Genomic DNA, 12,407 nt, shown 5'->3' on the forward strand with positions numbered 1-12,407 from the left:
CTCTTCTGCTATGTCCTTTCCTCCCTCCATCATTTGAAAATTTCACAACCTGTGAGGTTGGGAAGCATAGGTAGACGTTTGGTCAAGCTGGAACGACAGTTCTACCAAACTCCTCCCCTTGTGCTCATGTGTGTGTTCCCGTACCCACGTGGATCTAAGTCCTGTCCCGGGATAGTGCTCGTATCTGGAGTGAATGGAAGGGTCAGGAAGGATGTGCTTGTCCTGAAGGCTTGTAGAGGGAGGAGCTATCATGGCAGCCTCTCCTCCTGAGCTCATTCAGGTGTTCCCTCTGCCTGGCTGGGCCATCTCTTTCCTTGCCCTTTCAGTAAGAGGCTGTGGAATTATGTGAGGGAGAGGAAGAAGCTACTGCTTAGAGGGATTCTGCTCTCCAGGCCTTAAGCTGGGGTGCTTTCTAGCTCCGCTCTTCTCGTTTAAAGGGATGGCCTGACTCCAGCAGGTATCTGGAAGTAAAAACAACAAACAACCCCAAACATCTCCCAGCGCCAGACTGATAGCTCAGATTTCTACCACAGGTGAGATTTCCTGCTCATCTTTCTGATGGAGGAAGCCTGTGTGTGTGTGTATGCACGTGTGTGTGTGCATGTGTTGTGCATGTGTGCGCGTGTGTGTGTGCATGTGTGTGTGTGTGTTTTCTCTGCTGATTTATAGGCACTTTTTGGGTTGATAGATCTGTGAGGAAGAGTAGGAATGGAGTCAGGGAATTGTCTTCGATCAGAGGCCTGATGAGAACAAGGCGCTCATCAACACTGTTTAGGAAGGTGTTTTGTGCAGGAATTTGTGGCAAGTGATGGGAGGATGGTAGGGTGTGAGAAGAAGGGGGAAAATGCCACAGTATCTGACAACTTAAAACTCAGGGAGTCACAGAAATGTTGGGGCTTTGAGAAAACTTTGCCAACAACTCTCCTCTGAGGGTCTCTGGCCTGAGGTCACTGAGAATCTCAGGGAAAACAGGAGCAAGGACACAGCGGGCCCTCATGGGAGCAGATGCAGTCCTTTGGCCCACCTGCCCCTCCCTGCTCTCATCTCGGAAAACGTCGGCCCCCAACGCAGACAGGTCACTTGGAAACCAGGGAGTGGGGTTAAAAGCATCTCTCAACCCAATGTTCCCTTCCCCTTTCACATGCAGTATTTTGGGAACCGCGTGCTGTAGAAGCTGCATTGTAACAGTGGAAACATTTTAATTAAATGGGGAGACCTTAGGTCTGTCACATGACCTGGGTGTTCTCCTGTATAAAATGAAGGCTGATAACAGCTCCTTGACCGCTTCACAGGACTCTGGGGTCAAACGTGGCATGGGAAAGTGCTTTGTAAGGGAATTCAGATGTATAAGCTGTTCTTAGTAGGAGAGCAGTTTGCTCACCTGCTTAATGCTGGGGTTGGGGCAGGGCTGAAGCTGGGAGCTGGTGTTGGTGACTTCGGGAAGTTAGCTCTCCCTTGCTTCCAAGTCAATCAATGCTGGCTTTCAGTGATATTATTGAAAGCATATAAAGCTGGTCTGGTTGGCCTTAGAATAAAAGCTTCTGAAGGGCAGGGGGGCCTGGGGCTGTGTGGGACAGAAGTCTCTTGTTTCAAGAAGACATCAGTTCAGTGGTGGTATTCTGCCTGTGCCTGTGAGATCTGGGCTCGGACAAGCACTTTAAACCCACAAGTTGGCTGCATCATCTCTGAGAATTCCGTGACCCTTTCTGGGGTGGGGGCTGAGGAGGCCAGGAAATGGCTTTGGTCCCATTAGTCATTCTGGCGCCAGCAGCCCGACAGCAATGGCTTCTCATAGGGGAGTTGGGGGAGATGCCCATGGCGGGAGGGTGCCATGGGGGTGGGGTGGAGGGCAGGGGGGCTGCTGTTCTCATGCCCCTTTTTACCTAGATGCTGCCAAAGGTGGTCCCTGGAACAGTGACCACAAAGTGTCTCATGGGAGGAAGAAGGATGAAAGAGATGGGAATTCTTGTAAATTTTTAATCTGAAAAATAAAGAAAGTGTGAATTAGAATTAATGCAGGTATTAAATATTTAAACTTTCTGTACTCACTTTCATTTTTAACATATTCCTTCCTCAAAAACCTCGATAACGCTTGTCAGATTTGTTCTCAAGATGTCCCCCTCTCTCCACCTCCCCCTAGGCCCAGCCCCAAAGTGAGACCGCAGGTATTCATCATCCTGATGGAAATGCTCATTTTATTTCTCCTACAGGAACCATCTGATCTCTCTCTTTATATTTATGCTTTCTCTCTGTGGCAGTGTAAATAATTAATGCTGTTACAAACACATCCTATGCAAAATATATATTAGAAAAAATAACTCTTTAATTTGGCATGTCATTTAATTCCATTTTGTAATCATAGCACAGGGGCTACAATTAATGCCAGGGCTGAGGAATCCAGCCTGACTGCTGACACTGGCAGAGGCACGACCAAGTCTCCTAGACTGAGGCCCTCTTGGACTCTCAGCTGTTTCTTCTTTGTGTGCTTTTGGTTGATGGATGGAGATGGTACCCACTGTCCAGGGCGAGGCTGAGAGTGAGTCTGGAAATGAAACAGGAAACTCACTTCTATCTTCAATAGAATGGGGCAAGGGTGGTCCAGGTCTCTTCAAGTGCACTTGGTAGCATTCATCCAAAAGGATGCTGGGACATTTAGATGTAGGACATTTGGTACATCCTCACGGGGTCGGGGGCGGTTGTCCTTGGACTTTTGGGGAGTTCTCACAAGGATTGGCTTGGGGCACAGTAGCAAAGAGTTTCCTGGAAGTTGGGTTTTATGCATGCATTAATTTAACAAATATTTATTGAGTGCCTCATATGTGCCAGGTGTTGTTGTGGGCACTGGAGATACAACAGTGACTAAGACAAGGAATGAAGATGAAAATATCCAGTTTCTGAATATTCCACCATCGCCTCTGCTCATTCCTTTTTCCATTCAATGGTCTTTCTGGCTATCTTAAGGAATCCATCTATCAGAGCCATTGCCCCCTCAGGTTTTAAGAACTCTTGGCTAGTATTTGAATAACTCAGTGTTCCTGGATTTACCAATTCCTGTGAGTTTAGCACAACCTCGCAGATAAGATTGCAACTACCAGCAGCCCTCTCTCCCCTGGGAGGAATCCTACAAACCGAATGACTGGCATCGGCATTCCTTTCTCCTGGACTCCAGGTGTGGTCTTCCCTCTGCAGGTGGGTGAATGGCTCTTTTGGGAGACTGCAGGTCCTGCCATGACATGGTGTCTTGCACTGCTGATCCTGCCTCTATGTGTCATCTCAAGGGCCCAGACCTGGGGCTGAAGCCTTGGAGGTTTGAATTTCAGCTTTCATGTGGCATTTGTCAGCCTTTCCCCCTATTGAATATCTTCTGTAATTGTCCCACGCCTGGCGCCATTCAGTGTGTGTTCCCAAGCTAAAAAGCCCTCATTCACTTGTGGCTCAGGCTCTCATTAATTCTTTCATGGGGTGGAGAATAATGAGGGGACAGCTAATACACTCGAAAAAAAATTGATTTTGTAGTTAGCAATTTGCCACTCTTTGTTTGGAAAGCCAATGTGGACTCCTCAGCCTGTAATTCCACTGAGGAGAAAATTTAAACAATTGGCACCCAGGCCCCAGCCCACCTTCCCAGAGAGGCTCTGATGCACTCTGCATTTCATGTTTCCCAGGATAGGATGGCGGGAGGAAACTTGGAAATCATCACGAGCACCCTGCTCTTCTCCCCTGACTCAGGCTCCTGGACCAGGGCCTGTATCAGGCATGGGCTGATTCAGGAGGTGGAGATCTGTCTGACTTGAAAGGCCTATGGGAGGAGTTTCCAGGCATCTCAGAGGCTCTTGATTGGCTAGGACCAAAGATGCTGAACCTTAGCTGCCTTGGGGGGTGACACAAGAAGTTCTGCAGGACTAACCCCTGTGACTCAACTTCTGTGTCTTTCATGGGGGCTGATGATCCTGTCTGTGGATTTGGAGGGAAGATGTTTGAATGATTTCACAGTTCCCTGCCCCACCATCCCGTCCTCTCTGCTGGGATAGCCATGGGACTGAATTCTACCCAGACTCTAGTATATACTCTGGCCTTCCTTCTTAGGAAGGATTTAAGGAGCTCTGAGTTAGTTTTCAAACTTTGCTACAAGTCCAGCTTGGCCATTTTGCTCTGCTTTTAGAAAATGGGCTTTCATCTTAGTAATACCAGATTTCCATTTGTACACCGTGTCAATCTGACAAGACACTCATAATCTCTTTCCGGACATCTCCATTGCTGAATTCTCCCTGAATACAGTGTTCCATGCTCTCCTTTCTTGAATAGACTTCCTCCCATAATTTGCACCGGGGTTTCTTCCCTACCTCCATCCCAAGGCAGAGTGCATATTTGGGTCAGCTCTCAGCCCCACTCCTGTTTTCATTTGTTCATTCAGTATTTGCCATGCTGGCACTGTATCAGAGCACTCTGCTCACTTGGTTTTCAGAGGAGTCTCAGTTCCTGTGTTCCAGAAGACACTGATTTCAGTTCTGTCTAGACCTTCAATGTGTGTCCTGTCATGAAAATAGCAGAGTTGAGGGAAGGAGAGCAGCAAATTGATGACTTTGTCAAGAAAAAAAAAAAATCCCCCAGGGTCCATAAGGAGCACCTCCTCCTTGGGCCTTGCTCCAGCTCATAGCCCAGATGTTTTTCCTGGCTCTGCTCAGCCCATGGTACCCAGAAATGATGTGACTCCATTTGGAGCCATTGATGAGCCAGACATACTGATGGGGAAGCCGCCTTTGCCCACCCCCGTGACAGATGCATCATCGAGTCCCTTGGCTCTGTTAATAAAACCTGCCCTTGCTTTCCTAATGCCCTGTGCCTGCAGTGGCAGGGCCATAGACCTCTCAACGCTATAGCGACAAATCACAGAACACTATAAGCCCAGAGCCACTCGGTGCCTTTTATTAAACCTGACAAATATCCAATAACCCTGGCCTCATGCCTACTCTCCTACATCATTTGATACAAATTGCATGGAGGCTTGGAGGGAAGTGTTTCAAATGGGAACTAGAGTTGGTGATGACAGTCCTCCTGGCTGTGAAGGGTCGTGGGGGTGTGAGGAAAGCTCTCCAGGTGTTTTTCCATAAGTCTGTCTCAGCATGACTGATCCTGGATCCTTAGGTAATTGATTCGCTGGTGGAATGTCTGGCTCTCGATGAATCATGATAAATGGCATCTGTGAAGCTCTTTACCAATTGCTAAGCACAGGCACACATATTATCTCATTTAATGCTCACATCAACCCTGAGATGAATGCTCTTGTCCCAGTTTCACAATTGAGAGGACAGAGATGCAGAAGGTTTGACTTGTTAAGGTCACATGATTAATATGGGACAACTGGGGCCCAAGCTCAGATCTTGATTTTGTATCCCGTGTTCCTTTGACTTTCCATTTCCTTCCGTGCCCTCTCTCCCCTTCTCCCTCTGTAACATGGAGGATTTGGGCCTTGTTCTACCCAGGACCTGGAGTAAGGATTAAAGGGATGTTCTTTACGCTTTGATCGTGTCGCGTAAAGAGGGCACAGGGACAGCTCTCCCACTTCCTCCAAGAGGAACAGCCGCCTTCTTTGTGGGGTTTCCCCTTCTTTATTTTTCCCACGGACTCCCAGTGCCTCACAGGTCCCGGTGTGAACAGGAGAGGAGCAGCAATGAATCAGTGCTTTTTTGAAGCTGTTTTCCAGAAGCGAGAGAATTGACTTCTCCGCCTGCCTCACCACGCCTTGTTTCAGGCAGTGACAGAAGCAGCATTGAGCACTGACTGTCGGGTCTGGCCGAAGCGCAGGGAGAATGGCCTGCAAGGGGAGGCAGCCAAAGCCCCTACTGTCACTGCCCATCACTCAAGAGCTTAAGCAGCCAGCTTCCTGCACCAGTCTTGGGTTGAAGAAAACTTGCAGTCTGCCTGCCTAAAAGCCCGCCCAGTCCAGGGTGAGAGGCCGCTTGTCAGGCCCGGAGAGACTGGCTGTGCTGGTCAGGAAGGCAGCCTGTGAATGAGCACACTCCCCAGGCAGGCTCAGAGTTCAGGGATGGGTGTTTACCTTTGCAGCCCACTGTGCTTCTCGCCACTTGAAATTCTACTAAGAACCCAGAGGAGCAGCTGAAAATATCCCAGGTTATATGAAAATGAATGAAGGCTCAGCAAACAGAGCCCAGCTTCTGAGCAAACAGCTGAAAAGGCAGGCGGCAAAACAAGAAAAGGGGAGAATGCAAAAGGAGGATGGGCAGATGGGAGAAGGAGGGAAGGTGGACCGAGGGGCAGGAGGAGGCGGGTCAGAGCGAGGGCTCTGGCTTGTCTTCTGTCCTGGAGATGCCTCTGCTACCCACCTCCCTATGGGGTGAGGAAAGCAGTGCCAAGAAAAAGGTTCTCAACTTTGGGCTGGATGGAGAGACTTTTTGGGGAAAATGCCTTGTGGTTTTGTGAGTTCTATGGTATTTTTCTACAGTGAAGGGAAGTTGGAAGTGAGGGTAGGTCTGGGCACTTTGCCTTCCTAGGAGTTAGGAGGCCTGGGTTCCAGACCCAGCAGTCATGGTGTGACCTTGGGCAACACCCCATGTTTGTGAGTACAGTTTCCTTATTGGCAAAATGAGAAAGTTTGACTAGACCACGTCAGGGGGATCCTTTTAGCTCTAACATTCTATAGTTTTTGTTTTGTTTTGTTTTGTGTTTTGCTTTTACCGTAACTGACAAAGACTTGGATACATATTTGACTACTGTTGAGCTGTGCTAACCACCTTTGGAAGCTTATCTTCCGAGACACATGGACACGGATGGTCATGTGAGCAGGAACCAGCAGAATCAGGATCTTCTTGGATATTGTGAGTGAGGCCAGGCTGGGGCCAAAGACGTAGCTTCCTGCCAACAGTGGTGAAGGTAGTATCACACTGGCTCTGGAACCACAGGTTAGAGTTGGAGGACCTCATATTTATTACTTAGTGTGTATTCTGTGCCTAAAGCTGTGCTAAGTACTTTGCATTTATTCTCTCATTTACTTTTATACCAATGCTTTGAGCTAAGGCTTATTATTATCCTACTCTTATGCCTCAGAGCAATAGAGTAACTTGCCCATGGTCACATAACCTAGATGTCACCCAGACCTGAATGATGCAGGGGGTCCACACTCCTAACCACTGCACCACACATACTTTCAGAACCTTATGGTCTCGGGAAAGACATGATGAGCCTGAAGGGTAAGGGATATCGAGCTCCACATCCCAGCTCGCTGAGGGGTTGTGTTCCCTCCGCAGAGCACAGAACGGAGTCCCTATATATGAATCCTTTGCCTCTGCGGTGCCAGCCCCTGTGCAGAGGTGCCCTGCCAGCTCATATCAGACAGCAACTCATGAAACCGTGGCCTTTTGTTTGTTTTGTTTTTCACCTTTTATAGACTAGAGAACAAACTGTGCAGCAGCCATAGTGCCAAGAAGGCAGGCAAGGATGCGTGAACAAGGAACACACGGGGATGGAACATGTCGGCTGCAGCTAGGAGGACTTGACCTGAGGCTGGGGGCTGGAGCAGGCCCAGGCCAGGACGCTGGGCCATGGCCTTTGTCTACTCTCTTAGATGCTAAGCCTCCTCGTAAAATATTCTAGGACCTTGGAAGGCTGAATGACCACCTGTGAGGAATGTTGGAATAAATGGGAACTCTTGCTGTAGGTGGAAAGTCAGATCAGGGGCGGTAGGATAACACCCAACTCCAAGTTGCTGCACATCCATGTGCATCTATTATGTGCTGATTATGAGCCTGGTGTGGCAGCAGGCCCAGTCCCGGGGTGCAGAGATAAGTAAGACAGCACATCTAGCCATAAATCGCTTCCTTCAGGAAGGCAGTCAACAAATGCTAGATGCCTACTGTGTGCAAGGCTTTATTGTAGGTTCAGAGAATAGTGCTGAACAAGACAAGGGTCCCTGCCATCAAGGATTTCATATTCTAAGTAGGGAGGAGTAGAATGAATAAACAAGGAAGCAACCATGGAAATAAGAAAATGTTAGGTCCTGACGAATGCTGGGAAGAAGGTAAAGCAGGCTCTGGTGGGAGAGTGTCTGGGCTGGGTGTTGGGGAGGGCTCTCTAAGGATGGGATATTTGTACTGAACCTGATGGTTGAGAAAGTGACAGCCATGGGTAGATGGGAGGGAGAGCATCTCAAGCAGAAGGAAAAGCAAAAGCCAAGTCTCTGGGGTGGACCTGAGCCAGTGTGCATGGGGAATGAGTAGACAAGACGGAGGATGAAGAGAAAGGAGGTCAGGGAGGCAGAGAGTGTCTTAGGAGGCCACACAAAGGCATTTGGGTCTTACCTGTCTTGGATAAGCCATGAGGACTATAACGGGGAGAGTGAGGAGAGCTGAGTGTGCTTTAGAAAGACCACTCTGGCTGCTGAGGGAGTAAAGGGGGCTGGTGGAGGCTTTGTTGGCTTAGTCTTGGCCATGGCAGTGGAGATGGAGCAGAGTTGTGGGAGTCAGGTTGTTGAGGACTTCTTGATGGATTGAATGTAGTTGAGGAAAGGAAGGAACCAAGACTGATTTCTAGATTTTTGGCACCTGAATGGAGAGTTTTACTTAGATGGAGGAGACTTGGCAGAAGGTGGTGTAGGATCTGAGGGGAGAAATTAAGAGATCTGTTTTGAATACGCCAAGCTCAGGATGCCTTTGAGACACTGAAGTAGAGGTGTTGAGTAGACAGTTGAATACAGATGTCTGGGTGTCTGAAAAGAGGTTCAGTTGGAGATGGGGATGTGAGAGACCTGCATGTGTAAGAAGGTCCTTAAAGCAATGGGGAAAGATCACATAGGGAGAGAGAAAGGATGCAGAAAGGGAGAGTGAAGGGGATGCTCCAGTATTTTTAGGAAATGCCAACAGAGGAGGCTGAGAAGGAGTGCTTGCGAAATACGGGAAAAACCAGAGGAGCGAAGTATCAGGGCCTGGAGGAGAAAGTTTTTTGAGATCAGCAATTGACCTGCTGTGCCAAATGCTGCTGGGAAGTCAAAATGAGGACAAAGAATTGACCATTTACTTTGGCAAGATATGGTCCTTAGTAATCTTGGTAATTAGTCATCAGTGGAGCGGTGGGTAATAAAGCCTGATTGGGGCAGGTTGAGGAGAGAATGGAAGATGGGAAAGGAGAGACAGTGAATACAGATGACTCCTTTGAATAGATTTACTGTGAAGAGGAACTCCTAAAGAGGTGGAAAATGGAGGAGGGACTTGGGTCAAGGGAGAGTTTATTTAAAGGAGGATGATATGGAGGTATGTTTATATGCCAGGGGAAGTGATCCAGTTAAAGAGGGAGAAAAGTCCTTGAAATGGCACGGGAGAATGGGTTCAGAGCCCAGTGAAGGTATTGACCTTGGATGGGAGCCAGGACTCTTTTTCTATGGTAATTGCAGGATGGCATGGCCTGAGTATTTTAGTTCTGAGACAGACACAATAAAGGGCTTGTTGATGGGAAGATGGGGTAGTTCTCATCTTATAGAAATCTGTTTTCTGTATGAAATATACTGCAAGGTCATCAACTGAGAGTGGGGTGGGGAGGGAGTGTTGGAGACCTGGGGAGAGAAGGAAGTATGAGGTTTCCCCAGAGACTGGGAAATTGAATTTTCTAGGGAAATGTGGTAGTTTTTTCTGACAGTGTTGAGTGAGATTTGTGGTCATGTTTGAAGTGAGTCTAGTCAGCAAATTTGTATCATTTTTCTCCAGTAAGGTTCAGCTGCTCTGATACAGACCCTGAATAAGTGGGTAGGATACCAGGGCAGGAGTTCTGCTAGACTAAGACAATGCAAGGAGAGCTGCAAGAAGCCCAGGTGGTCAGCATGGCAGTAGCTGAAGTATTGGATAGTGGAATCAGAGCTGGGCAAAGAGGGAAGTGAACACATGCAGGGAGTGATGGAAACGGATCATGAAAAAAATGTTTTTAATGAAGTAGGATTGGAGAATTGCTAGAGTAAGTAGGGGTGTCAGAGTAAGCTAGGGTGGCAATGGTCAGAAAGTGGGAAGTTGGCAATGTACATTTTGTGGGTGATTCAGTTAGTGGTGTGCCAAAATCTAGGAAACGGCCATGTGAGTGGAGCAAAAGCTCATGGGATGCCAATCACAGTGGGAAGAAAAAACAATAATAATAAAGGCTCATTGAAGCTAGGAAGGACAGCCAGCTAGAGGCCAGAGTATCAGACAGGTCATCTTCATGGATTTTGGAGTCTCCAATGATGCTGGCAGAAATAATAATGGAGAAAGGGTCAGCAACCCAAATGCTAAAATCATCCATGAATGAGGGGGAATGTCCAGGAGGTTGGTAGACTGACAGCATTTCATACGTAGGAGGGGGCATGAGGTCTGATGACAGGTGCTTCAAGTAAGTGAGCTTGGGTTTTTGAAAGAAGAAAGAGAGATGGTTTAGAAGCTGCAGTGGGGTGCTCGCTTCAGCAGCAAACAGACCAAAACGGGTGTGACACAGAGAAGATTAGCTTGGCCCTGCACAAGGATGACACACAAATTCATGAAGCATTCCATATTTTGTACAAAAATAAAATTAGATAGAAGGAATAAGTTCTAGTGTTCAATAGTACAGTAGGGAAATTATAGTTAACAATAAATTATTGTATATTTCAAAATAGCTAGAAGAGAAGAATTATAGCGTTCCCAACAGAAAGGAAAGATAAATGTTTGAGGTGATGGATATCCCAATTTTACACTGATTTGATCATTTCACATTGTGTATAGATATCAAAATCTTACATGTACCCCCCAAATATACAGCTATTATGTATCAGTGCAATTTTTTTTTAAAGAGACTAGCTGGGTGTAGTTGCTCATGCCTATAATCACAACACTTTGGGAGGCTGAGGCGGGAGGATCTCTTGAGCTCAGAAATTTGAGACCAGCCTGGGCAACATGGCAAAACCCCATTTCTACAAAAATACAAAAAAAATTAGCCAGGTGTGGTGGCCCATGCCTATAGTCTCAGCTACTCAGGAGGCTGAGGTGGGAGGATCACTTGAGTCTAGGAGGTGGAGGCTGCAGTGAGCTGTGATTGCACCACTGCATGCCCACTTGGGCAACAGAGTGAGACCCTGTCTAAAAAAAAAAAAAAAAAAAACTGTAGTGGGAAGCAGGGAATACACACCCATCTCCCACTTCTGAAGTATATGAGACATAAGAGACAAAGCTGTCCCCAACAGAAAGGGCTTCTGAGGAAACAGGTCCTCGTAGGGAAGTCTGGGTTTCCCCTAAAGCAAGAAAGTGAAGGAGCCAGTCAGAGAGACCAGGATCCCCAGAGGGCATGGCCAAAGGCAGTGGGAGCAGCCTGGCGCTGAGTGTCTACCCAGCAGTGCATCAGCTAGGACCCTCAGACTCCCGATGATGGCTCAGGCGAATGGGAAGTCTGATGAGTGTGGTCCTGGAGGGCACAGCAGCCTGGGACTGAGGGCCTCGGGATGGCCGGGTCTTGGCTTGCGACGGAGATGTGGTGCCTTCAGTTGAAGACCGAGGGAGGGGCCGACTTGCTGGATTAGTACAATTGATGAGTGAATATCGGGGTGGTGGACACAGCCCATCCTGGAGGTGTTTGGTTGTTGGCATCCAGTAATGGCAGGTGAGAATCATATCACAGGGAATGTCAAAGTAAAAAAGGCATTTAGATATCCCTCGCCAGCTCTTATTTTTCAGATGAAGAAACTGAGGCCCAGAGAGGTCACATAACTTGTCCAAGGTCATCAGGTCAATGAGTGGGATTAGAATTTATTCAGAACAGAGGCAGGCATAGAGTTTGTGGATGCTGCCAGCCTAAGGCTGGGTGGAGGTGCAGGAGGCTGGCGGATGTCCGTTTTCCCAGCCTGGCTGAGCCGGGAGACCACTATGGTCTGGCTGTACCTATTCTCTCCTCGTGGTCACCATGTTTGCCCCCAACAGGGGCATGTGTCTGGCTTGGCGGGACTATTGGAAACCAGAGAGCTTAGATTCCGTCCCTGTCATCCCTGTGGCACCTTGGTCAAGTGCCCTGGCTCGTCTGGTTTTCACATCTCCTCTGTGCTTGTGGGCATGCCTGTGTGGCAACATGTAGGTGCCATGGCCTGTGAACCGCAGTGAGCAAGGTTGTGCCTGGACCTCTCAGAACTGGGCCGTGGTATCTCCTGGAGGGGGCTTCTGTCTGACCGAATGATTGAATCATTTACCAAGTATCTACCCTGCACTCAGCCCTGCTTCCATGAAGCTCAAAACCTAGCGGGGAACATCAGACTGGATCTGGAGACTCACAAGCTGATAAAGGAGACCCGAGAAGTATTTTAATTCACTGGCCTCGCATGTCAGATGAGGAAAATGAGGCTATGGCAGCACCAGAGTGAGAGCTTTACCCCGGCTGTGAACTCCCAGTCTGAAGCTGTGGCTGGTATGCCT

At 48.1% G+C, this 12,407-nt stretch overlaps 1 protein-coding gene and 1 pseudogene across 28 annotated transcripts in view; both read left to right on the top strand.

The window, feature by feature from the left end:
- PKNOX2 (PBX/knotted 1 homeobox 2) overlaps positions 1-12,407 on the top strand; it is a 268,639-nt gene that overhangs the window by 102,378 nt on the left and 153,854 nt on the right. The window lies entirely within an intron of this gene.
- RNU6-321P (RNA, U6 small nuclear 321, pseudogene) lies at positions 10,424-10,529 on the top strand (annotated as a pseudogene).

This window comes from Homo sapiens, chromosome 11 (assembly GCF_000001405.40).
Source record: "Homo sapiens chromosome 11, GRCh38.p14 Primary Assembly".
In the NCBI taxonomy this organism is placed as follows: Eukaryota; Metazoa; Chordata; class Mammalia; order Primates; family Hominidae; genus Homo; species Homo sapiens.